General features: G+C 40.8%; 1 protein-coding gene across 10 annotated transcripts, besides 2 other annotated features; it reads right to left on the bottom strand.

Annotated features, from left to right (window-relative positions):
• Window positions 6,460–7,659: an enhancer, noted in NCBI's record as "MED14-independent group 3 enhancer chr5:52786330-52787529 (GRCh37/hg19 assembly coordinates)". NCBI's record gives its function as "activates an origin of replication core promoter dependent on BRD2, BRD4, P300/CBP and CDK7 cofactors, and independent of MED14, by STARR-seq in HCT116 cells {active_cell/tissue: HCT116}" and the evidence as "EXISTENCE:reporter gene assay evidence [ECO:0000049][PMID:35650434]".
• FST (follistatin) lies at window positions 11,025–17,530 on the bottom strand. Of its 10 annotated transcripts, none has more exons than XM_005248402.5 (6): window positions 17,283–17,530; window positions 15,088–15,279; window positions 14,437–14,655; window positions 13,827–14,090; window positions 12,932–13,162; window positions 11,025–12,472 (listed from the first exon to the last, which is right to left on the bottom strand). In XM_005248402.5, coding segments are annotated over exons 1-6 (993 nt in total). In that variant the 5' UTR covers window positions 17,368–17,530; the 3' UTR covers window positions 11,025–12,470. The 10 variants fall into 10 exon arrangements, with proteins under 10 accessions (XP_005248459.1, XP_005248457.1, NP_006341.1 ...); XM_005248400.5 differs by having other exon boundaries at window positions 11,025–12,208; NM_006350.5 differs by having other exon boundaries at window positions 13,866–14,090.
• Window positions 16,228–16,297: an enhancer, noted in NCBI's record as "active region_22546". NCBI's record gives its function as "activates an Ori minimal core promoter by ATAC-STARR-seq in GM12878 lymphoblastoid cells {active_cell/tissue: GM12878}" and the evidence as "EXISTENCE:reporter gene assay evidence [ECO:0000049][PMID:35858748]".

Raw genomic sequence — 26,684 nt, 5'->3', positions numbered from 1 at the left:
GGAATGTTCTTCCATTTTTTTGTATCCTCTTTTATTTCATTGAGCAGTGGTTTGTAGTTCTCCTTGAAGAGGTCCTTCACGTCCCTTGTAAATTGGATTCCTAGGTATTTTATTCTCTTTGAAGCAATTGTGAATGGGAGGTCACTCATGATTTGGCTCTCTGTTTGTCTGTTATTGGTGTATAAGAATGCTTGTGATTTTTGCACATTGATTTTATATCCTGAGACTTGGCTGAATTTGCTTATCAGCTTAAGGAGATTTTGGGCTGAGACGACTGGAGTTTTCTAGATATACAATCATGTCATCTGCAAACAGGGACAATTTGACTTCCTCTTTTCCTAATTGAATACCCTTTATTTCCTTCTCCTGCCTGATTGCCCTAGCCGGAACTTCCAACACTATGTTGAATAGGAGTGGTGAGAGAGGACATCCCTGTCTTGTGCCAGTTTTCAAAGGGAATGCTTCCAGTTTTTGCCCACTCAGTATGATATTGGCTGTGGGTTTGTCATTGATAGCTCTTATTATTTTGAGATATGTCCCATCAATACTTAATTTATTGAGAGTTTTTTAGCATGAAGTGTTGTTGAATTTTGTCAAAGGCCTTTTCTGCATCTTTTGAGATAATCATGTGGTTTTTGTTGTTGGTTCTGTGTATATGCTGGATTACGTTTATTGATTTGTGTATGTTGAACCAGCCTTGCATCACAGGGATGAAGCCCACTTGATCATGGTGGATAAGCTTTTTGATGTGCTGCTGGATTCAGTTTGCCAGTATTTTATTGAGGATTTTTGCATCGATGTTCATCAGGGATATTGGTGTAAAATTCTCTTTTTTTTGTTGTGTCTCTGCCAGGCTTTGGTATCAAGATGATGCTGGCCTCATAAAATGAGTTAGGGAGGATTCCCTCTTTTTCTATTGATTGGAATAGTTTCAGAAGGAATGGTATCAGCTCCTCCTTGTACCTCTGGCAGAATTCGGCTGTGAATCCATCTGGTCCTAGACTTTTTTTGGTTGGTAAGCTATTAATGATTGTCTCAATTTCAGAGCCTGTTATTGGTCTATTCAGAGATTCTACTTCTTCCTGGTTTAGTCTTGAGAGGGTGTATGTGTCCAGGAATTTATCCATTTCTTCTAGATTTTCAAATTTATTTGCGTAGACGTGTTTATAGTATTTTCTGATGGTAGTTTGTATTTCTGTGGGATCGGTGGTGATATCCCCTTTATCATTTTTTATTGTGTCTGTTTGATTCTTCTCTCTTTTGTTCTTTATTGGTCTTGCTAGCAGTCTTTCAATTTTGTTGATCTTCTCAAAAAACCAGCTCCTGGATTCATTGATTTTTTGAAGGGTTTTTTGTGTCTCTATCTCCTTCAGTTCTGCTCTGATCTTATTTATTTCTTGCCTTCTGCTAGCTTTTGAATGTGTTTGCTCTTGCTTCTCTACTTCTTTTAATTGTGATGTTAGGGTGTCAATTTTAGATCTTTCCTGCTTTCTCTTGTGGGCATTTAGTGCTATAAATTTCCCTCTACACAATGATTTAAATGTGTCCCAGAGATTCTGGTATGTTGTGTCTTTGTTCTCATTGGTTTCAAAGAACATCTTTATTTCTGCCTTCATTTCGTTATGTACACAGTAGTCATTCAGGAGCAGGTTGTTCAGTTTCCATATAGTTGAGTGGTTTTGAGGGAGTTTCTTAATCCTGAGCTCTAGTTTGATTGCACTGTGGTCTGAGAGACAGTTTGTTACAATTTCTGTTCTTTTACATTTGCTGAGGAGTGCTTTACTTCCAACTATGTGGTCAATTTTGGAATAAGTGTGTTGTGGTACTGAGAAGAATGTATATTCTGTTGATTTGGGGTAGAGAGTTCTGTAGATATCTATTAGGTCCACTTGGTGCAAAGCTGAGTTCAATTCCTGGATATCCTCATTAAGTTTCTGTCTCGTTGATCTGTCTAATGTTGACAGTGGGGTGTTAAAGTCTCCCATTATTATTGTGTGGGAGTCTAAGTCTCTTTGTAGGTCTTTAAGGACTTGCTTTATGAATCTGGGTTCTCCTGTATTGGGTGCATATATATTTAGGATAGTCAGCTCTTCTTGTTGAATTGATCCCTTTACCATTATGTAATGGCCTTGTCTCTTTTGATCTTTGTTGGTTTAAAGTCTGTTTTATCAGAGACTAGGATTGCAACCCCTGCCTTTTTTTGTTTTCCATTTGCTTGGTAGATCTTCCTCCATCCTTTTATTTTGAGCCTATGTGTGTCTCTGCATGTGAGTTGAGTTTCCTGAATACAGCACACTGATGGGTCTTGACTGTTTATCCAATTTGCTAGTCTGTGTCTTTTAATTGGAGCATTTAGCCCATTTACATTTAAGGGTAATATTGTTATGTGTGAATTTGATCATGTCATTATGATGTTAGCTGCTTATTTTGCTCGTTAGTTGATGCAGTTACTTCCTAGCCTCAACAGCCTTTACAACTTGGCATGTGTTTGCAGTGGCTGGTACTGGTTGTTCCTTTCCATGTTTAGTGCTTCCTTCAGGAGCTCTTTTAGGGCAGGCCTGGTGGTGACAAAATCTCTCAGCATTTGCTTGTCTGTAAAGGATTTTATTTCTCCTTCACTTATGAAGCTTAGTTTGGCTGGATATGAAATTCTGGGTTGAAAATTCTTTTCTTTAAGAATGTTGAATATTGGCCCCCACTCTCTCCTGGCTTGTAGCATTTCTGCCAAGAGATCAGCTCTTAGTCTGATGGGCTTCCCTTTGTGGGTAACCCGACCTTTCTCTCTGGCTGCCCTTGATATTTTTTCCCTCATTTCAACTTTGGTGAATCTGAGAATTATTTGTCTTGGAGTTGCTCTTCTCGACGAGTATCTTTGTGGCGTTCTCTGTATTTCCTGAATTTGGATGTTGGCCTGCCTTGCTAGGTTGGGGAAGTTCTCCTGGATAATATCCTGCAGAGTGTTTCCCAACTTGGTTCCATTCTCCCCGTCACTTTCAGGTACACCAATCAGATGTACATTTGGTCTTTTCACTTAGTCCCATATTTCTTGGAGGCTTTGTTCATTTCTTTTTATTATTTTTTTGGAGAATGGAATTCTTAGCTTACTTGGGAGTCAAGAAATGTGGATAAGTGAAGCAAACCAGGCAAAGGACAAAGGGAGAATGATCGGTGCAGTGGACTTGGGGGACACTTACCCCATCTAAAGGAGAGAGCTGCTGTTTCCCTGCTCCTGGGGATTGTGCCTGTGTCGTGTCTCAGAATCAGTGATGCCCAGGCTTCAGATTTTTTCAAGAGAAAGTAGAAGTCTAACTTTTTGGGTGAAATTTCCTGAGTTTTAAATATTACCAACTAATTCAAAATTATTTTAGAGATTTGAGTGACCTAATAAAATATAAGTCAGGTATAGCCTGTGGGTTGCCAGTTTTTGATCCCTGCTTCACTGGAGAGAAGATGAGGTCATCAGGAAGACCCGTAAGAAATGGAGAGATATGAGGGAGTGGGAATACAAAAGTCAGGGAAATTGACAAGAGGGAAGCCTGGTTAACACTGTACAATTCAAAGGGTGGTCTTATTAGATACGGATAGTATAGTGTCCTTGTGTCCATTATGTAGGGTCGCTTGGAATTCGTTGGTAACCTTTGTCAAGTCTCTTCAGAAGAATAGTAGGAGAAAAAACCAAATTGCAGTGGTTTGAGGAATGAGAGAGAGTTGACGCAGTGAAGACAGAGAGTGGAGACTACTCCGAGGGTCGTGTCTAGAAGAAGATAAAAGAAGCTTTTTTTTTTTTTTTTTTTTTTTTTTTTTGTGATACAGAGTTCATTCTGTCACCCAGGCTGGAGTGCAGTGGTGCGATCATGGCTCACTGAAGCCTCGATTTCCCAGTCTGTATTACTCAGGGTTCCCCATACGGACAGAACTAATAGGATACATGTATACTTGAAAGAAAGTTTATTAAGAGGAATCAACTCACACAATCACAAGGTGAAGTCCCACAATAGGCCATCTACAAGCTGAGGAGCTAGGAATCCAGTACTGGCTCAGTCCGAGTCCTAAAACCTCAAAAGTAAGGAAGCCGACAGTGCAGCCTTCAGTCTGTGGCCAAAGGTCCGAGATCCTCTGGCAAATCACTGGTGTAAGTCCAACAGCCCAAAGGCCGAAGAACCTTGAGTCTGATGTCCAAGGGCAGTAATCATCCAGCATGGGGGAAAGATGAAAGCCAGAAGACTCAGAGAGCCAGCTTATCCCACCCTGCCCACCTCGTTCTGGCTGCCTTGGCAGCTGATTGGATGGTGTCCACCCACATCGAGGGTGGGTCTCCCTCTCCCAGGCTAGTGACTCAAATGTTAATCTCCTTTGGCAACACCCTCACAGACACACCCAGAAACAATACTTTACCAGCTATCTAGGTGTCCTTCAATCCAATCAAGCTGACACCTAATATTAGCCATCACATGGGCTCAAGTAACCCTCCAACCTCAGCCTCCCAAGTAGCTGGGACTACAGGTGTGTATCACCATGCCCAGCTAATTTTTGTATTTTTCATAGACATTTGATTTTGCCACATTGCCCGATCTGGTCTCAGACTCCTGGGCTCAAGAGATCCTCCTGCCTCTGCCTCCCAAAATTCTGAGATTACAGGTGTGAGTCACCACACCTGGACAAAAGAAGCTTTTTTTTTGAAGGTCTAGCCAAGGCTGAAGTATATATATATTATAAACATGTTTTATATATGTAACATGTTTATATATAACAAGTATATATATAATAAACATGTTTATAATATATATACTATGTATGTATGTATGTATTATATATGTATATATACATGTCTATGTTTTAATTAAGCAAACTTTAATAATTATATTGTTTCAATTTTCTATAATCTTATTTTTAAAATTCTGTGAAGTATATTTATAAGCTCAGATGAATAAAACTACTCAAGGGGGGAACTTAAAAATGATGGAGGTGAAGTCTGTTAATAGAGTGAGTTTCTAGAGGAGAAGCGAGAAGGTGTGGTGGAAAACAAAGTACGAAATGGAAGATTCTCTGAGATTAGAACGAAGGAACTTAGAAAAGGTATGGCATTGGGCAAACTTACAGCTAATGATGACAGTGGAGGAAGCTGAGGTAATTCTTTTCTAGTTCGTTAGAAAAGCTAAGGTTCATTGATAGTGAGTGGAGTGGGAGTGAAAAGCCTGCTTGAAGAGGGTGGAGAAAGTTTAAAGATACCAGTGAGGGAGATGGGATGAAGATATATATATATAAAATTATATACATATATTATATATATAAAATTATATACATATATTATATATATAAAATTATATACATATATTATATATATAATTGTATATGAATAAAACTACTCTGGGGTAATTATATACATATATTATATATATAATATATAAATATGTATTTATAAAATACTGCTCAGGAGGCTAAATAACCCAGTTGAGACCAGATCCCATACTTGTGTAGTGGCACTGAAGGATTTCACTGTTGCTCTGCAGCATAGGATAGGTGTGAAGAAGGTGGATTTCACTCATTAGTAGTTAGGATTTCAGCCAGAGGGTGTGGAAAAATGGGTAGGTATTCACAGACCCAAGGTTCTGGTGAAGAGGATGGTTGAGGTGATTGAGGTGGAAAATGATACAAGACCAGGAAGGGTGGAATAGCAAGAAAATGGAGAGAGAGGCCCTTTCACCTCTTAGTTCAGGCAATGGACCTTGGGGCATTGTTATTCTGCATGCATCCCTTGGAAGGTTTCACTTACCATTGCCTGGAGCCCATGTTTCTAGTGCAGCAGGTTACTTAGATCTCCCAGTCCTTAGAAGAGGTAGTAAGGCAAATAGCAGTTTTGGTTTCCTGACCCATGGATGAGGCTGAAGTAGTATCCTAAGGGATGATGCAGAACTCCAAGAAATTGTAGGTAAGTTCCAGAGAAGGGAAGTGGACCAAACGCCAATTAGTGAAAAACCAGAGTTGGAATGTTACTACCCTTCATTCAAAATTCTAGTCTCTTCTTGACAAACATACCACCTAATTAATATGGCTGGAAGCGATGGTGAAGGTGCGTCTACACCTCTTAGTCAACCCAGCTATGTCTCACCGGGAAGATGGTAGACGATGACAATATTCTATCAGGAAACATACGCCTTGTGATTTTTATGGCCAAATGCCTTTGCCACCACCAGGTACATCCCTGTAGCACAGGACCAAGTTATATGTGAGAATTCTGCCGAGGAGACGCTGGGGGAACAGGGCTTCCCTAAAGCCCTACCAGAGGCATGGGTATTCTGGCTGCCTTTGGAACATCAGGGAACTGGGGCTCACTTGGAGCTTGAAATGATTCTAGAGTAGTGGTCCTCAAACCTTAACACACATTAGAATCATTTGGAGAGCTTGTTAAAACATAGATTCCCAGACCCTACCCTAGTAAATTAGATTCAGTGGTTCTGGGATAGTGCTCAAGAACTTGTGTTTCTAACAAGCTCCCAGATCTTTCTGGTGTTCTTGGTCTAGGCACTACACCTTCAGCAGCACTGTTTCTATTTGGGAATTGTATTGACTGGGCTCTGGTTCCACATGCCCAATGAAGAAAGTGCTTTAAGTCCGATTTGATGACTTCTCCTGGGGCACTGACTCTATCTTAGAAGTCCCAGGTGTTGCTGCCTTTTGAATAATCTAACACCTCTGCAACCTGCTGTCATTTGAGCCATAAGCCCACAGCAATCTCCAGAAACTATAGAGACTGGCCTTCATCTTGGTCTTTTGTTGTTATCATTGCTTATGAGTTGTACTATGACCATTATCATCCCATTGGTTTTTTTTTTTTTGGTGCTGAAAAAGAAATTTATCAAGATCTTTTTTTTCCAAACTGGAATCAATGTAGAGCCCCCTCTTTCTCACCAGGATTGTGACTTTTGCCTCTAACAACTTCTTAGGGCCCAATATTCTTAAGAAAAGTGTATACTTGCTCTTTAGACAGAGACTTGAGTCCTTGGGGAATGAGTACAACAGATATTTATTTGGTGGGAGTGTATCTGGCTCCCAACCTTGCCAGTTGGTTCCCTGGCCATTTTCTTAAAATAGAAAAATGACACAGCACTGCCAGGACTACATTTGGTCTAATCCAAAGAGTATGTGTCTGAAGGACTCTGCCACAGGAATCTTGGTGATACCAGCCAAGATATCTGAGGTCTAAGGATGGCAAAACCCAGGAACCATCCAGTATTCATGGGGGGATTCCAGCAAAATAGAAGCTGGGATTTGGACATGTCTGGGCAGGTCCACTGACTACATAGGGCAGGCATGCCTGGTGTCTATTTACACAACAGCTTTTGGCTGAAGAAGAATTGTGTGGCTGCTCTGAATGGAAAATGGAATGGGAAGAAGGGAAACATGTTACTCTTAGGACCCAGGTTTTGAAAACTCTAATAAACAAGTTTATTAATTGTATAATATATGCATTGTTTCATATCTGGCAACTGCACAATTTATACTCGGATTTTTGAGACAGTTTGGGAATAGTTTATCCTGTTATTATCTTCAGGAGTCTATAGTCCTCCTACAGGAAATTGTATCAAAATTAAAGAAGACTGAGTTAATTTATTGTACTGCCAGGAATTGTGCTGAGAGTGTGAATTGAAGGACAAAAGACACATTTTGTGGCTTTGAAAATTTCAGATGGTGAGTGAATTTTTTCTAAATTTCATGGGAAATAATATATCTAAACGTTTTATTTTGAAAGGTACACTTTTGCCGTACCACCTAGAACTTCATGAAGTTTTATTAAATATTAACATGGATAAAATACTTTAAAAGTACGCTTACCTTCCATTTTAAAAATGGCTTCCGCTTGGGCTTCTGGTCTCGATTGATATATGTTATATGTTGATATATGTTATATGTGAGAATTCTGCCCAGGAGATACTGGGGGAACAGGGCTTCCCTGAAGCCCTAACAGTGGCATGGGTATTCTGGCTGCCTTTGGAGCATCAGAGAACTGGGGCTCACTTATCATTATACAAACTGTCTACTGAAGAAGTTCCTCTACCATTTCTCATTCATTGCATTTTCAAGGTAAGGTTTGATTGATGAGTTATTATACCACCTTTTTTCTTTAATTAATCATAGTTATTATAATATTAGAGGACACTTATTTTCTGACTGTTTTTTAAGTGCCAAGCATGAATCTAAGCACTTAACACATTATATCTCTTTTAATCCTCACAACATTGTAATGAGAGAGAGACTTTCCTTGTTGTGATTATGTAGGTGAGGAAACTGAAGTACATAGGGATTAAATTGCTTGTCAAATAATACATAGCAAGCAGTGGGGAGAATGAGGGTGTTGGGTGTTTGGAGTGTTACAATGAAGGTACTAATCATTCTAAATTGTAAGATGATGATAGAAAGGCTGTTTCTCAGTTTGGGTATGGTTTAGGTGATAGGAATTCTCTCATTGCACATGTGAATTCCCCCAGTAGCCTTGTTAAAGTCACTGGAATTGTTTTCCAGTCTTTTTATCATACAAAATCATTTTTTTAAATGACTCTGATAATTCATTCTTTTCCCAGAGAATGGGGAGAAGCAGTTTGCTGTGCACCTCTCCTTCTTGAGAATGACTTTTTAAAAAAAGCATTAACTTTTTATTTGGATATACGATATTTTCAAACTCATAGGAAAGTTGCAAAGATAAAGATAGTGCTAAAAATACCCTATAACTTTTATTGAGATTCGCTTATTGTTAACATTTTATTCCATTTTCTTTATCATTCATGTACTCCCTCTTTGCATACATGTGAACAAAATAATAAAACCTATATATTTTTTTCTAAGTCATTTAAGAGTAAGTTTTATACATTGTGGCCCCTTTTCCAAAATACTTCAGTGTGTATTTCCTGAGTCAAAGAGTATTCTCTCACATAACCACAACACAGTAATCAAATTTTAGTAGATTTAACATTGATGCAATACTTTAATCTTTGGACAGTATTCTGATTTTATCAACCGGCCCAATATTGTTATTTACAGCATTATTTTCCTTAGGAACAAGATCTGATCAAAGGTCAGGTACTGCATTTAGCTATCCCATTTGAGAATAACTTTAATTAGCCAGACTTTATTTTTGCTATACTTGAGGAATCATATCCCATGTAGTATATAAACATTTTAATTTAAATTAGGCTTCTGACAGATCTTTTATTATTAATTTATATTTTGTAATTCCATTCTATTAATTACACTATATGCATGTGAATTAGACTTTTTTGGGCCATAGTTGAAATTCTAACAATAGTCTAAAGATATTAATCTACTTTTAATTTTAAAAGAGATTTCTATTTTTTTGGTACTAATAAGTGTAATGCTAGGTGACTGGAAAAGTGGAAAACTCCAAGGAGGAAAACGAGATACCGTCCAGTGTTTAAGAGGAATGATTGATGCTGACAAATTTGGAATAAAAATTTTAAATAAATAATCTGGATGTTTTCTAAGGCAAGCTGTTGATTTTATCACTTCCCATTGCCAAGACACACATCGGTGCCTGTTAAATTTGACGTTTTTACTCTGATCGTCAGTGGCAGCTTTAAAGCATCTGTAGCATCCCAGGATCAAGCAACAAATCAACTCCACGAAGGGCTGTGAAACCATATCTGCCCGTTTCCTTTCCCGAGAGCCTCTCTCTAGTGGCAAGCCAGTAGCTAATCTACACCGGAGAAGTTACGACCCTTGTCTTTTGCAGTTAATGGCAGCCTGTTTGTTTTCTGCACCTCTCTTTTCCTTTTGGGGAACACAGGGCTGAAAGGTAACAAGATCCAACAGGGCTCTAATCATTATATAAACTGTCTACTGAAGAGGTCCCTCTACCTCCACCAAATTTCTCATTAGGTGGCCACAGTTGAGAGCCAACAGTCTCTGGCAACAATTTTGAATAACTATTCATATTAAAGAGGCTTTTTACAAAAGGGATAAACTTTTAAGAAGAACTTGGGTCATGGTGTTTGAAAGAAATGATATGTTTATTATTGTTTAGCGATGCTGGTAATATTGACTATACTTTGCTCTTTCCCTCCCACAGTCCTGATACTTCTTTACATCTTGAATTTCTGATATTTTAAATATAATTAGGCTTTGAATATGTAAGTACATAATTGGAATTGGAATTGAATCAGAAACTTGTGTTGATGCTCCAGTTATATATTCCTATGCATTATATTACAGGGACTAGTGAATGATGGCCCAAATGCCAATCTGAGGCTTGCATCTTGTACTTCTTTGATATTTTTAATATATTTAGGCTTTGAGTATGTAGCACACAATGAATTGGAAACTTATGTTTATGATCTAGTTATGTATTCCTATGTATTACAGGGACCATTGACTGATGTCCTAAACACCATTCTGAAGCTCTAATAGTGTCTAGTGTAAACTGTGAAATATTGATACACTTCCTCTTACAATGAGTGACATTATTTGATCCCTAACCATGGACATCATTGTGGAAATTCACCTCCACCCCATCCTCACCTCATCAAGTCCCTAGCATTCCAACACTATAATGTCTACTTCTGCAGCTGATATTCTGATTTCTAGAATGTGTTTGTCAAATATTATATCTGTTGTCAGCTTTCCTTGTGATGTGTGTTGTTTTTTAAAAGACTGAAACTGCACTGGATTTATGGGAAAGTAAGATGAAGCGTGTCCCTGGCTATGGTGATGAGCTTGCAACAAGGACAGCTAAAACGATGGTGTTTTTAAAGAGGAAATATTAGCCTTGGCATATTGCAGGAAAGAACCCACATCTACAGTCTGTTCCTTCTGTGGTTAGTGACAGGTATATGCCACTCCTACAGTGGGGTTGCTGGACCTCAGATCCCTTTATCTTTCAAACTCCAGTGAAGTGATCTGTACTGCCCTGGCCATGTAATTTCAGAGATAGCTACATTCCTCAGCAAAGGTATCATACACATTTTTACTCAAAAGTCCAAATAACTTCTTTGCATCATCAGGAATTGAAACCATTGGCTTTTTAAAATTTTTTTATTTTTTCACTCATCATTTATTTACAAATACACATTATAACTTTTATATACATTGCACATTTACATGGTAGAAAAGTACAAAACTATATATTTAAATGAATTTATATTTTAACTTGCCATGTTTGAAAATATAAAATTGCATCAGAAAAAAGTATTATGAAAAGCAAGAAACTTGAACTGATAAAGCTTTGATATAACTTTTAGTGATATACTGGTTGAAAAAGAACTAATTTAAAAGGTACAGCTGAGTAGCTTAAAGGAAACACCTAACAAAAGGTTGAATGTGTAGCCTTCAACATCCTTTAGTCTCCTGACACCCACATCATTTCTTTGTATCTGTAACATCTTAAAAGTACATTACTAGAATTCTAATCATCTCCTCTCTCACAAATGTCTTCATCATAACAAAAGAACTGAAGTAGGAGTTTCCTCAAAGATGCTTATCTTCTGTACCTTGTATTTGAGTCAGAGTTATAATGCCTTTTGGTCAGTCAAGGTTCCTTGTAAACAAAACCCGAGGGATCATGTATGTACAGATCAGGCAGCAGAGAATCCAATAAATAAACATGACAGAAACTGACATGCAAGTTTGTTGAAAGTGGAAAAGAGTCTAACAGTGAAATGAAGGGAGACAGATGAGTGAGTGAATAGTAAGGAATGGACTTAAATGGTTTACAAGGAAAAAAAGCTTTTACTTTACAAGCAAGAGACCTCACAATAAATAACAACTGCTCTTCCTTTCACGAATAAATTTCTTCAAAAACAAGGTATACAGTCAACCAGACATTTTATGTATAAATTATAAAACATGACACAGTATAAATAAATGTCTACAAGTCTCAACTATGGGCCTCATCCAGTAGACCTCACAATGAATGCCTCTCCGTGTCCAATGAGTAACAAGGTGGCCTGGGAGAGAGCTTTAGGACAAAGGTCCTTTAATGTATAGTTTTCCCCCCAAATAAATAAGCATACACTTATTTACAGTATGGACAATATATTTTTCTTTTTTTCTTTTTCTTTTTTTTTTTTTTTTTTTTTGCACAAAGGCTATGTCAACACTGAACACTTATAGAGAGTTTACCACTCTAGAATAGAAGATATAGGAAAGCTGTAGTCCTGGTCTTCATCTTCCTCCTCTTCCTCGGTGTCTTCCGAAATGGCTAGATGGGGGAATACAGGGGAGCTGTTGTTTAAATACGGACAACAACAGCGCAGAAGCAGCTCAGTGTATGTTTTCAAAGCCCTCTGATACAGCCATATTACAGCGTTGCATTTTTATGTGACTTGCAGTGAGATGCTTTTTTTGTTTTTGGCATCTGCTGTTATGCAATAAGTTAAAAAAATTTTTTTAAAGCATAATCTATGAAGTCAAAAACTGCAGAAAGTTCTGAAGAATCAATGGCTCAGGTTTTACGGGCAGATTCCTGAAATTAGATAAAAAGCGCTCTTGTGTTCTAGGTATAACTGCTTTGGGTCCTTAATTCAGAGTTAGTAGAGGCAACTGCAAAAAGCAGCAGCCCATGTGTGATAATATGAAGCTGTCGTTGGAAAAAAAAAAAAAAAACTTTTGAAGCAGTTAGTTTAGACTCAAATGTTAATAAAGCAAACAGCAAAGCACACTACCAAAACACAAGAAATAGGGGAAAACAACTGGAAATAGATTTCTAGAGGCAACCCCATTGATGATCACCAGATAAGTCCTAAAAGCCAAGAAACATCGCAGAGAATTTTCTGTGGATTATTGAATTGCTGGTGATACTTAGCAGCTACCTAATTTGAACAGAAATGGATTTATGGGAGATCTGCGTGCTTTGTAAGTGTCCATTCCCTAGGGATTGCCTGGGAAAGCCTTAAATGGCAGCAAGGTTAAAAATCGCACTTACAGTTGCAAGATCCGGAGTGCTTTACTTCCAGTAGCACACCTGAGGAGCAGGCAGCTTCCTTCATGGCACACTCGCTGGCATAAGTGGCATTGTCACTGGCACAGACAGGCTCATCCGACTTACTGTCAGGGCACAGCTCATCACAGAGGGAACACCGGCCTCTCCCAACCTTGAAATCCCATAAACATTTTTTCCCACCAGTGCACTGGATATCTTCACAGGACTTTGCTTCTAGGATATAATACATCTGTGATGAGTAAACTGATTTCCCCATATCCCCCTTTTCTCCCTTTCTCTAGTCCTCTATCAATAAATATAAACATAATTTATTTTATATAAACATAATAGTAATAGCCTATTACTAATGGGGGTAATGGAGATATTATGCAAAAATGCTGGATAATAAAACTGAAACTCAAATGCACACACACATACACACGCACAAAACCCCTGCAGTTTCTTACATACTACATTAGTGCATTAAAAGGGTATTTTTTTAAGAACAGGATTTTACAATATTCTCAAGTTAAATATGTATCTTATTATTTCCCACAAGTGGGATCTTTTACAAAAGAAAGAATTCCATTAATTACTAGAATCTGACAACAGATTTCTGGAACTGCTAAGTAATTATTTTTCGCTTCCAGCAAGTCTGGCACTTAAAAAAATGTGTAAAATTGAGTAAGTTCTAAGTTTTCTAAGACGGAATACTGTTCCTTGCTTCCTGCTGGCATTTGAATATATGTGTCAATGCCTCCAGAAGACAATGGTTTCCATGAGGAATACTGTGGTCACAACACTTTCCCCAAATTGCAGCGTATTTCTCCCTATGGTGTTTGGGGACGCCTTGGGCTTTACTTATTAGTTAACCCCACAGTTTAATAATAGAACTAGCCTGTTTTCTCTTTTTCCTTCCTCAATCCAGAATACCTACTGATACACTTTCCCTCATAGGCTAATCCAATAGATCTGCCCAGCAGGCAGGTAGCCTTTCTCAGGTGGCAGGCACTGGAGTAGGTGACTCCATCATTCCCACAGAGATATTGCTCAGAGGAAGCAGGCTCTGGGCAAATCCGATTACAGGTCACACAGTAGGCATTATTGGTCTGGTCCACCACACATGTGGAGCTGCCTGGACAGAAAACATCCCGACAAGTCTCTGGAACAAAGAAGGAAACACACATGAATAGGTACCTTCTAGTCCTTAGGGAGTGAGCACTTGAAGTTACCAAGGAAATCATGACACTGAAGCATCCAGCTTTCAAAAGGCACTTAGGGAGCCCTGTAGTTTTCAAGAGAGAATCTATGACTAGGTTGGTCCCCTCAGTGTTCTTAATGAATCTCTAGAGGTTAGAAAAGGACTCCTTTATTTGGTTTCAGTATTACTATTATCAGGCTCTTACTGCGGACTACACCATCCCCCAAGGGTCTTCTAGAGGGTCTACTTTAGGTACAAAGCTGGAGGAGGGGACAGATCCAGTCTTGCTCAACAGGGTAGGACCTACTTTTACATCTGCCTTGGTACTGGACTTCCAGTTCTGGCTGCTCTTTACATCTTGCCTTTAGGAGTGCACATTCATTGCGGTAGGTTTTCCCATCCAGCCCGCAGACTGGACCCTTCCAGGTGATGTTGGAACAATCCGGGGCGCAGACGCAGCGGGGTTTGTTCTTCTTGTTCATTCGGCATTTTTTCCCAGGTCCACAGTCCACGTTCTCACACGTTTCTGTGAGTTAGAAACAGGCATGGATTAAAACCAGAGCCAGGCAGTCTGCAGGTCAGCCAGGAGGGCTTCGGGTGCCTTGCGCAATCATGCAGCCCTGAGTTTGCGCTGGAGGGGCCCCAGGCTCTCTCCTGGAATATTGGGAGTTGGTGAAAGAGTGTGGACCTTGGGCTGTGCCCCACACCCAGATCTCTCTCATTAAGGAGCACAGGTTGGTGGGTTTCACCACCACACTTGGCTAAGAAGTCTGGCGTGTATTCCCTACAGCCTGTAACAGGCAGAATTAGAGTCTGCACGGCTTACCAGGGCAAGGGACAGGAAGGGGAAGCCCAGGAACAAAGCTCTCCTACTCCCAAACCCCAGTCAGGTAGTGGGGAAGCTAAGGGTAAGACGCCCTCTACTGAGGGCCTGCAAGTTGGGAAGAAGGAGTCCTACCTTTACAGGGGATGCAGTTGGGGGCGCCCCCGTTGAAAATCATCCACTTGAAGAGTGTGTTGTCATTCACGTCCTCCTCGGTCCACGAGGTGCTCAGCCGGCCGGTGCTGCAGCACTCCTCCTTGCTCAGTTCGGTCTTGTACAGGACCTGGCAGCGGCCGTTCTTCGCTTGACGGAGCCAGCAGTTCCCAGCTGTGAAGAGACAAGGGTGGGGAGGTGGGTGAGTGAGCAGTGAGCGGTGGCAGGGCAGGGAGAGCGAGGTGGCTAGCGAAGGAGACCCGGCGGGGATGGGGAGGGGGTGAGCGTGGAGGAGGGGAAGTGAGAGAGACGCGGGAGAAAAGTAGGAAATAAATCGAAAGGGGTGGAGGGGTGGAAAAAGAAGGCAGTGGAGGGGGAAGCCCTGATCACAGAGATGGGAGGTGGGCGAGAGGGAGGGAGGGAGAGAGGGAGAAGACAGGGCGCCCCAGCCATATCAATGTCAGTTACCAGTGACCCAGACACAACACGTGCAGCTTGCATTGACTTTTACTAGACTGTTTACTTTTATTCGTCCCATTTCATAACCTGCAGAGACTCGAAGAGCAGATTAAAGAACCTGACAAAAACAGGATGCGACGGATGTTTTTACATGCTGGTTTCATGTAGGCGGGTACAGGAATTATTTGTGACAGGGGTTAAGAAAGTAAGAGAACGAGAGAGAGGAGAGAGGAGAGATGGAGGGGAGAGAGAGGGAGAAGGAAAGAGAAAGAAAGAAAGAAAAGAAAGAAGAGAAAGAAAGAAAAGAAAGAGAAAGAAAGAAAAAAAGGAAGAAAGAAAGAGAGAGAGGAAGAAAGAAAAGAAAGAGAGAGAGAGAGAAACAGATCAAGCAAAAGGCACTTCTGAAAAATGAAAGCAAAAAAGCAACCCGGCCCAGCCCGGAGCTACCCCGCGCGGCCTCCAGGCGCAGCCAGCCCGACGGGCCCGTTTTGCAATCCGCCAGACCGGAGCACGCCCGCGGCCACCGCGATCTTTCGAAATCTCCGAGGGCTGCTTTCCTCCGCGCCCACGTCCGGGCACCAGGCAGAGCCTCTCCTCTAAAGGCGGGCAACCCAGCGCAGTGCCATGCAGACGGCGAGGGGCAGTGCCCAGGAGGGCAGTTTACAACATACTTAAAATGTTAACGCTGAAGCAGGGAAAGTAATGCCTTAAGGTGGGGGGAGGGGGGAGTCTTCCTACCATTTCACGGTTATAAGTACCTATCTCATACCTAGCAAGAAATATTTGCAAGTGATTTCTCCCTCTTCCCCCTTTTTAATGTTCGGATTTGGGTCGAGAAGACTTCTCATGAATCACCAATATGACTTTAACAATCATTGGATCGCAAGCTGCTATTATTATTTTAAACATTCTGCCCAAAGACTAATTGAAATAAACAAATCTATTTTTAAAAGGCAAGCTTCAGAAATTTGCTCTTAACCCATTTCAGAATTTAAGTCAGTTATGGGCTGCTCACTGTTTTACAGAAAGCTAAGGGTCAGAAAGAAGAATGAGGCAGAGGGGAAAAAAACTGTAAAGTGCTCAAAGCACTTTGGGGTAATAATTTGGCTTTTTTTTTTTTTTTTTTTTTTTTGCGAGAATGGGGGATGGGGTTGGAAGAAGCATCCACTAGGCAGAAAGCTACTTCCCTTGAAAATCTTCAGCACCCACATTTCCAAGTTTGGGCAAAGTTTCTGAAACCACGTCCCCCAGCCACCAAATAAAATTCAGTATCTCTCCCCCAAACCCCCAGGTTTTCTTTTCTTTCTTTCCTTTTTTTTTTTTAAGTATCCAAAAGATGTGGGAGGGAGAGAGATGAGACTGCAAATGGGTCGACTGAAATCTCCAGGCTACTACTGATACTTGTTCCCTTCTTCAGAGCCAAACAGAGGAGATCACATCTAAAGTTATCATGGCCAGAACTTGGAGCATTTAACCCTAACTACTAAGACCCCAGCTCGCTCCCTTTCCTTTTTCAAGATAACCGAGCTCCAAACTCAGTTCCCAGTCCTAAAGTGTCATTGCCTACAATTTTCCCACTCCTCTCCATCCCGGAGTCCCCAAGTTGGTTCAACATCTTCCGAGAGCAGCGTTGCTCAGAACAGACCAAGTGGAGACCACAGAAAAGTCGACCCCCCTGTCCTCAGCCAAGCCTCCCCAGCGCATCCCCACTCGCTTACCCTGGGCACTGCGGTCCTCCATGAACTGGCAGAGCAGCAGCAGCAGGAGGCAAAGCCCACCCGGCTGGTGCCTCGCGCGGACCATCCTGGGGGCAGGCGCGGGGCGAGGAGCGCAGCGGCGCGGGGAGCCGGCGCGGCGGCGGGTGGCTCGGGCGAGCGGCGCGCGTCGCAGAGGCCAGCGGCGGAGGGCGCAGCGATCCCGGCGCAGCCCCGCGCTCGCCGCCGGCCGCCCGCGCGATTCAATGGACGTCAGAAGCCGGGCGCAGCCGCGCTTTAAATCTAGACGGGGGTCTCCGCGGTTTGCGGTGGGCGGTCTCCCAGTGTGTGGGGCTGTGGGAGGGCGGCCGCGAGCGAGGGTGTGCGCGGCTCCTTGGGGGTGGGGAGCTTTCAAAAGTTCAGTGTGAATCAGGTGACATTTCCCACCTTCTGGAAACCCTTCCCAATTATCTTTCGGAGGTGCCCGAAATCAAAACGGCTGGAAGGGAATCGTCGAGTTCTTATTTGCGTAGGAGCGAGAGGGAGGGGGAAGGCGACCGGGGCGGGGGTTGGGGGCTACGCGTCGGGGGTGGGGAGTGGGGAAGAACACCCACTTCAAGTCCTGCTCGCCGCCGCTCGCCGGCAGCGCCGGCGCGCCCGGGGTGGCGGGTGTGTGTGTGAGTGTGTGTGTGAGTGTGTGTGCGCGCGCGCGCGAGTGTGAGAGGGAGGGCGCGGTGGGGGCGCTGGAGGCGGTGGCGGGGGGAACCCGGGAGTTTGTCTCCGTGCTGCCTCTCCTCCGCTCCAAAGAGACTTTTGCAAACGGCCGAAGAGCCCCGGGCTGCCCAAATATCCCGCCCCGGGTCGGGTCGGAGCGCGCCGGCCTCGCGGCGGTTCCGGGCACCCGCAGCCTGGGCGCGGGACCCGCGAGGTTTTGTGTCTGGGTCTGTGAGTGCCTGACTTTGCAGCCACCCCCAGCCCAGAGGTGTTGCTAGGAACCCCGGCCCCGGCACCTTCCACCCTGGCAGAGCGCTACCGAGACGCGGCCCTTCGTCTGGACTAGTCGGAAGCAAACAAAAATGTTTAACACCTCAGGCCCGGTCTCCCCGCGGCACAGCCTCGCCCTCTCCCTTTCTTTTCTCCCCTTTCACTTCGCGGCGTCTGGAGTCGGAGCCCGGAGCGGGGGCGCCGACGTAGGCGGTCTGGCCCCCCCTTCCTCTCCCGCCTGGAGACTCCCCAGTTTCTGTCCTGTGTGCCTCTGTCTGTCTCTCAGTCTCCTCGGCTCCAATCTCTCTCTCTTTCTGTCTCGTCTTCTCTCTTTTCGCGGAATAAAAAAGATTGCAACATCCATAATGAACTTCTGTAGCCTCAGTTTATTAAGTACAGTGCCTGGCATTCTTCGCTGAAAGTTGGCGGGTCTCTCATTTATAACATTTTTGGCACCGCTGAATGAAACTGAGGAGGCGATATTTCCTTTTATATAAAACGATTACTTCACGGAAAATGCTATATTGTTTATTCCAAAGCTGCCTTTTAAATTTGTTCTTTTCGCATCTGAAGCCCGAAGGACAACAGATAGCGAAGTATGCAGACAAAATTCTTGGACATTCGCAGGTCACTGGGATTTGTTCTACGAATTTCAAATCTGCCCTTCTTCCCCCCCTGCAACTGCCCTCCCCCCGCCAGACCCTCCCCCAGTCCTCCTCTAGCCCTCCCACCCCCCATCTTCCGTCAACCTTCCCCCCTCCACAACTGCAAATAACTCAGTGATAACAGATTTTTTTCCACCAACTGCAGGAGATAGTGCTAATCTTTTAATAAAAGATCCCATTACAATGGGATCTGTCTGGACAGACTATAATAGATCCCGAAATACAGCCGTGCTAATATTAGAAGACAGTTGTTTGGGTGCCTCTCAGACGGGCCCAAGCCCCCCTTTGAAAGTGGGCATGAATCACAAAGCCCCGCGGCCGCCGCACCTGCACCGCGCGCATTCGGTGCAGCAGGCTGGTAAAAGCGGGTGACCTCGCCGCCGCTTTTCGCTTTATAATTACCGTCATGAGGACGGGAGGGGAGGGGCTCGGGCGGCCCGGGGGAGACTGGATTTTGCTCACTTCAGACGGCTGTGGGGGCTCCACATCCTTCTTAATCTTTCCAGAATCATTCTGTCTGTTTCTGTCTCGCTGTCTCTCTCCCCTTCTCCCTTTCCCTCCAGTCCTCCAACTCATTCCCTCTGCTCTCTTTCCCCTACTCCTTCCCCTCTTCTCTCCTTCCCTCCCTCTACCCAGACTCTACCCGTACTCTCCCTCCCTTTTCTCCCTCTCTTTCTTTTCCAGTCTCCTTTTCTCTCTTCCCTCCAACTCATTAATGTAGAGTTGTTTAGTGCCCTCTAATGGCAGACGACATTAACAATTAATAGCAAACTGTCCCCTTTGCAGGAGCCGCCACTCAATGGCAGAGTTCCAAAGCTGAATTTATTTCTTCTTTATTCAGAGAAATGGTATAGTCCTTATACAATGATGTGCTGGAGGGAAAGTTTGTTTTCTCTGCTTAAAGGTTCCCCCACCCCTGCCCAGGGATAAGTTAAAGGAAAGAGAAGCTAACAAGTATTGTTACTTGACTTTTCCCCCTACCCTGTCTTTTAATGGCAGCAAGAGACACAGCTTCTTTTTAAGGTAGAGGTATCAAACCGTATATCCAAGGTTGAAAAATAAACATTCCAAATGCATAAAAGATCTCAGATGGTAAGTAACTGGATCTTACAGCAATGCTATCAATGATCATACATAATTACATGATTTTATATTTGTCTCCAGTTTAAATATATTTATTGGTCCTGAATTGGCCAGTAGCCTCTGGAAACTGGGGTCTTTTTCTTAGACTTTCCACCCTAGGACTATACAAAATATTTAAATTTTACTTATATGCCTAGTTGTATATGAAGTCATCTTGCCTGGAGAAATATAGAATCACGTTTTAATCCATATTTATTTTCTCAATATCTTTGGGAAGATTGTTTTAAAGTTCATAATCTCATCATATTTTATAACCGTATAGCAAGGAGAATAGTGATATAACTTGTATGTTCTTATTAGATTTTAATTTTGTTCATTCCTATATGTACATATAACATGTTGATGTAAAAGGGTCATACAAGTATACACAAAGATTACCTTTTTGGGGGAAGGTCTGTGTAGCTAAATGAAGATTAGAATAGAAGCAATTTGGAGGGGCTAGTCAAAAAATTTTCCATGTTTGAGCAAAACTATTTAGTTTGTCCAGATACTTATTTTAGTTTATGTATATAGAAACAACTGATGTCACAAAAACTTTCTAAATTAATTTAAGTTGTATCCTCACAATTCCAGTATGATTGGGTAAAAGTAAAAATTTCATTTCTATTTCATTTTTTGTCTATGTAATGCCAAATGCTCAGACCAGTCATTTGACTAAATTGACTGCCTTGACTAGTTGTTTTGGCATCATGTAATTGTCTTGGCTAAGCCAAAGCAGACACAGTAGCTCTCATTGTAAAAAATGGCACCACAAATAGGAGTCCCTCAGTACCAGAGGGTGACCCAACACAGGATTACTTCTCGTCCCAGAGAAGGTGACCCTGCAGGTCAGGGTTGAGGTCACTGGCAAACACACTGTGGAAAACATAAGTGCTGTGTTGCTTTTGCCCTTTTGAATAAGCAGCTTGGTGTTTGTTTAGTGATACAAGCTCATCCTGTTTTTCAGCTGCACCTTGGATAGTATTGATCTGTTTGGGAGAATGTCTGCTCCAAATCAGCACAGATCAGTCACCATGACTCTTGCCATCTAGGGTTATTTTCAGATCATAACTGAGGAAATGAGACACAGGTCAATACTGGTTCCTTATAGGCTTTCTGTGGGCATCAGCAAGAGATCCATCCCATTTCTGTGGTATGAAATGGTACCACACCTGTTCAGTGACATCACAGAAAAACAGCTGCTATTTCTTTTACTGTTATATCGCCTGTAAATGTTAAATATTGGGTTTGTAGATATCTAAATGTCAAGGGGACATTTTAAAATAAAAATGTCGCCTTTCATTTTTGTTGTATGCCTCCAAGTTTGACTTCTTATTTTTCCTTTCTGCTCTGCCAAATAAAAATGTAAATTATGAGAAACACAATAGGACCACTTTGTAGCTGAATTTCTGGGCAGCACACAAAAAGACTACTGTTTTCTGATTGGTCTTTTGTCAGCTTCAAAAGCTGTCTTCCTTCTGAAGTTTATAAATTTAAAATATTAGAGTTTAGCAAATGATTCAATCTAACTCCCTAGATAGCTATTTAAACTCATATGACATTGTTATTTGAGACCAGAACTGACCTGGTTAAATTTCAGTACCTAAAAAGAGAATATGGAGGGAGTGGGGTGAGGTTATGTAGAGACTATTTGAAAGTCATGAACTGAGTAGCTTTTTTTTTTTTTTTGCCTTAAGATTAAATGTCAAGCTTTTTTTGAAGTTAGGTGTTTTGCAAAATGAATACATTTTCAAGTGCAAATAATCAATCTTGATTAAACAACAAAAGTTAAGCATTTGAAAAATAGGCTAAAATGATTTTAAAATCAGATTTTATTCTAGGTACAAAACAGTTACTTAATGTGTCATAGTCTTTGGCATTATGCAACTTCATAGGCTAGCATAAGGATTTGAGTAGGGGGATGGGGGCAGTAGTTCTGTATTGGTTGAATCATTACAGAACTAAAAAGTTAAGAAATGTGAGTACGTAGAAGCAATGTTTACCCAAGATATCCAAACTACCGGTCAATTAAGGTTTTAAAAAATCATTAGAAAAATATGTTTTATGTAATATATATATATATATATATATATAACTGAGAAAACAACGGATTACTTGAACTTTTCTCTTTTCAGTGTTGCTTTGGTGTTATACAGAGCTGATCAATCATGGATAGCTCTTCCTTTTTGATACTACTTGTTTCTGTGTAACATTTTTATTGCCTTGCTTTCCCCTTTAATTTTAGAAATATTTTTGGGTTTCCAGAAGTCAGCTAAGCTAGTTGTCACATAGTCACTTAAACTAGCCATATTAATATATTCAAGTTCAACATAATTAAGTAGTTAAAATAAATCTTAGTAAATAATTCAAATTATGCCTTAGAATGGGGATGTTACATTGGATTAATAGAAAATTCTAAAGTATTTTAGGTCGCTTTGACAACATAAATGATTCATATATTTGGATATGACTGAAAATATCTGTGTGTGACCTTTAGCACTTTTAACCCTGATTCCATTTACACTTTCAACTGCATAGAAGGTGTGAGGAGGGCAAACTAGGATTTGCTGTTCAGTTTCCCCTACTTTATGTTGGAAACAACGTGTCAATCAAAGTAAGAGCCACCTTCCTGGATTATTCATTGGCTGAAGGTGAGTAGCATGCTGTAGTTACTTTGGTATGTTTTATTTTCTGGTCCCTTATTTTAGCTTTCCATAGAGTAGCAGTGGTTTGCACACTTAATAACTAGTTCTTCTCTAGGTATTTGCCTATTTAATATTACCATCAGTAGTTGATACAATTGCTGTTTGATCATCCATCATATTGTCACCCCACTTTTTAATTTGACATGAATCCTGTCTCATTTCTGATGCTGAATGGTAAATTAAGAAGTGAGATACTGTTGCCAGGCGAGATGTCAGAGGCCTGGCATTGAAAAGTGGTCAACCTGTGGGTTGGTAAGAAGAATTTACTGATGACAGTGTAGGTTTGAAAAAGGATAGTTTTATTAGAAAGAAAGAATGCTGCAGAAGAAGTGCAGCAGAGCCTCTCAGCAAGAGAGGACCCAGAGTGTTTTGGTAGATTTTTCCTTAGGGGTATTTATGGACCTTAAAGCAGGAGCTTAAGAGTAATTTGGACCACATTAGCCATGTAGGTCATGTTAAACAATAACGTTTGTAGATACCTTGGTGCCTTAATGTCAGCAAGGGTTGCACAATGAGTTTCAATATGCATACAAGTTACTTAACAAATTTTTGGGAGGGAAACCTGGAACCATATGCCTGGTTTAGATAATGGGAAAGTCGAATTACTTCTGAATCCCTCAGATAAGGAATTTTGTCTCTGGATGGCCTGCTTGATAGTCACCAGGTGATCTTTGCTATCCTCAATTATGTTTACAGTAAATTCAAATTTTACAAGTTAGTAGAACATGATTTTGAATATCCTATTTCATCATCTTGTAGAATTTTCAGTTAGTCTTGGAAGCAGAGAGTGAGTCTTACCATACACTGAATCTGCTGGCACCTTGATCTTGGACTTCCTAGCCTCCAGAATCATGAGCAATATATTTCTGTTGTTTATAAAATTATCAAATCTAAGATATTTTGTTATAGCAGCAGCATGAGCTAAGACAGTCATTGTTCCTCAACGGGGAATTCATTCCAAATCAATTTTGCACTTTTCCTTTGCACCTTTGTAAAAAATCAAAGAGCTTCGTAAGTGTGTATCTATTTCTGGGCTCTCTCTTATGTTCCGTTGATCTATTTGTTGATTCTATGCTGGTACCACACTATCATGATTAATGTGACTTTATAGTAAGTCATGAAGACAGGTAGTGTAATTCCTACAACTTTTTCTTTTTTTTCAAGATCACTTTGAATATCCTACTTGTATTTTTATATAACTTTTAGAATCTGTTTGTTGATTTTGCAAAAAAAGCTCGATGGGATTATGATTAGGGTAGATCAATTTGGTGAGAATGACATTTTAACAATATTGAGTCTTCAAAACCAATAACATGGTATGTCTTTGTATTTACATAACTCTTCTTTAGCTTCTCTCAACTGTAGTGTGTGTGTGTGTTTTTTTATTTTGGCTGTCATTGAAAAACATGCTGAAGTAGGATATTATATGTCATTTTAAGCTCTGTGTCTCAAAGGACCTCAATAGGTTATAAAGATTTCCTGGTGTAGGCTGATACTTGTTTTCAGACTTCCCCAAGCTGATTGTCTATGGTCAGTCAAAAAGAGTGTATTGAGCACACTTACCAGGAGTGGTGTGCTGACTCATCAAAATCTCTGGCATGCACTCTTTTGGTGTTTCTTTTAGACCATAGTCACTCCTTTAAATGAATAATCTTCATCACCATGAGATTTACACTCAGTGAGTGTTAAGAATAATTCTCTATTAGTTAGTGTTTTGTTGAGTATTATTTCATCATGTTCATGCAAATAGACTCCTCCTCAAAACTATCCATTATTGTGTTTAAGTTCTGAGAGATGGAAACATGCAGTTTCCATTATGCCAACATTTGGGTGGCAGTTACTTTCTGCCTTTATTCTTTATTGGAGAGTTATGGCATCTTTTCTGTTGTTATTGCTCTCCCTGACCCATTCATCCTCTCTGTAGTTTACTTTCCCCTTATATCTCGTTTTGCATCCACCAGAAGGGCTAGTGCTATACCCTAAACTTGTACCTTTTGTAGCATGTATTGGCTTATTTGGTTTTTCATGTAAATGCCACATTCAAAAGTAAACAATACTTTGTATCGTTTATCCAACAGTACTATTAAATATTTAACAATGGGTTGAGGTCAAATGGTGATGACACAACATGTGGAAATACGGGACAGGTGATGCATTAAGTGTTGAAATAAATTATTTCAACACATGGTGAGACTTGCTATTTTTTGGACTAAACATATATATACACACACATGTATAATGAGAACTACTAGATGAATTACTTAAAGGCAGTCTTGGTCAATGTGTGCTTAATGTCCCATAAATAGTCACTTTTTAGCAATATAAAATCATGAGTATATATACAGGAAGTTCATTTATTTGGTTTTTCAATACATTAAATAAATGATTCTCTTGAACTGGTCTCAGTGCAGTTTCCTTGCAAATAAAGATATGAAAATCGTCAACAGGAAACATGTGTTAATGGCTCACATGCTGGGCAGATGGAAACATAGTGTAGAAGAACCATTTAGTTGAGATCATTTTGGCCCCAATACTTCTAATTTTTGCTTTAGCAGAAAACATTGCTTTGGCCAGCCAGATGACACAACAATCACACTGTCAACATTTTCATTTTTGCCAGAGCACCAGATTTCCTGAATAAAACCATTAGGCAGTATTCTTAACTTTTTCTTGTTCCCAGTCCCCTTGAGAAGCTATTGAAAGATATGGACCATCTCCCCAGAATAGCAGACAGACACAAACACATACACAGCCACACAAAATGTTGCATTCATTTTAAGGAGGTCACAGGCACTCTGAAATCCATGCATATATCTATTATTTTATTCTTTAATAATAGCTACCATGTTTTAGTGCCCATTCCATGCTAGACATATGAAATACGTCATCTCTATTTTTTTTAACTGCTCTGCCAGGTAAGTGTTATTATCACCACTTCCTAGATCCCTCCAAAAAACAATAGGGCAAGGCTGAGTCAGAAGTACTTTACTGCCTAGCTTCTAGGAAGTGATTGTAATTTAGGCTTCCCAAGGATTAATGAGAAAAAGAAACAGATCTGTAATTACTCCCATATTCTAAGCAACCTAAGATACTTTTAAAGATAATGTTTTTTCTACTGTTATTCATAAAAACTAAAGCTGAAGAACATAAAACATGCAAGCATAAAAAATCAATTACATTTTCTAAATTCTCTGATGAAGATAGAGAAGCAAACAAGACTAATCTAGTTGTGGCTTTCTTGGAGATTTTAGGATGAAAGAGAAGGCAGATATTAAATAAGTAAGTACTATTCAATACATTATGAGGAAGAGGGTCAAGGAAAGCCTTCTTGATGAAGTGACCTTTAGCTGTAATTTTTGGTTGAGGAGGGGTTAGCCAGGAGAAGGCAGTGCTTGTGGAGAGATGGAAGAGTATTTGCAAAGCCCAGGAGGCAAGAAAGGAATCATATGAGGAACCAAAAGTAGTTTAGTAATGACCAAAGCACAGAGTTTGAGAAGGAGAGTGGAAATTGAGGAAAATGAATAAGTGGATGGTCTAGATTATATAAGCTCTTGTAAAATCTTGGGCTTACTGGTATTCCAGAGGAAATCCATGGGAATATTGTAAGTAGAAGGTGGCATAGGTCCCTTTTCACTTAGAAACTCTCTCCCCACTTGAACTGTGGAAATAAATGGGAAGGCATTAAAGGTGGTAAAAGGGTTACCTTCAAGATATAATTATCAGGTAGAATTGATAGATTCTGTTGATTGATTGAATGTGGGCTATAAGGGAAAAGGAGGAAACAAAAATGACTCTTGGGTTTCTGGTATGAATAAATGAATGGATGGTAGTATAGTTTTCTGACATAGGTAATAATGGAGGAAGGACAGGTCTGTTTGAGACTTGGATTCAATGAGCCTGTGGGAGTTAAGAAATTTTGAACGCCCTAAATTGCCAGGGTCACCTTTATC

The sequence above is a fragment of the Homo sapiens genome, chromosome 5 (assembly GCF_000001405.40).
Source record: "Homo sapiens chromosome 5, GRCh38.p14 Primary Assembly".
In the NCBI taxonomy this organism is placed as follows: domain Eukaryota; kingdom Metazoa; phylum Chordata; class Mammalia; order Primates; family Hominidae; genus Homo; species Homo sapiens.
The sequence above is the reverse complement of the archived record's forward strand: the minus strand, read 5'-3'. Positions and strand labels throughout refer to the sequence as shown.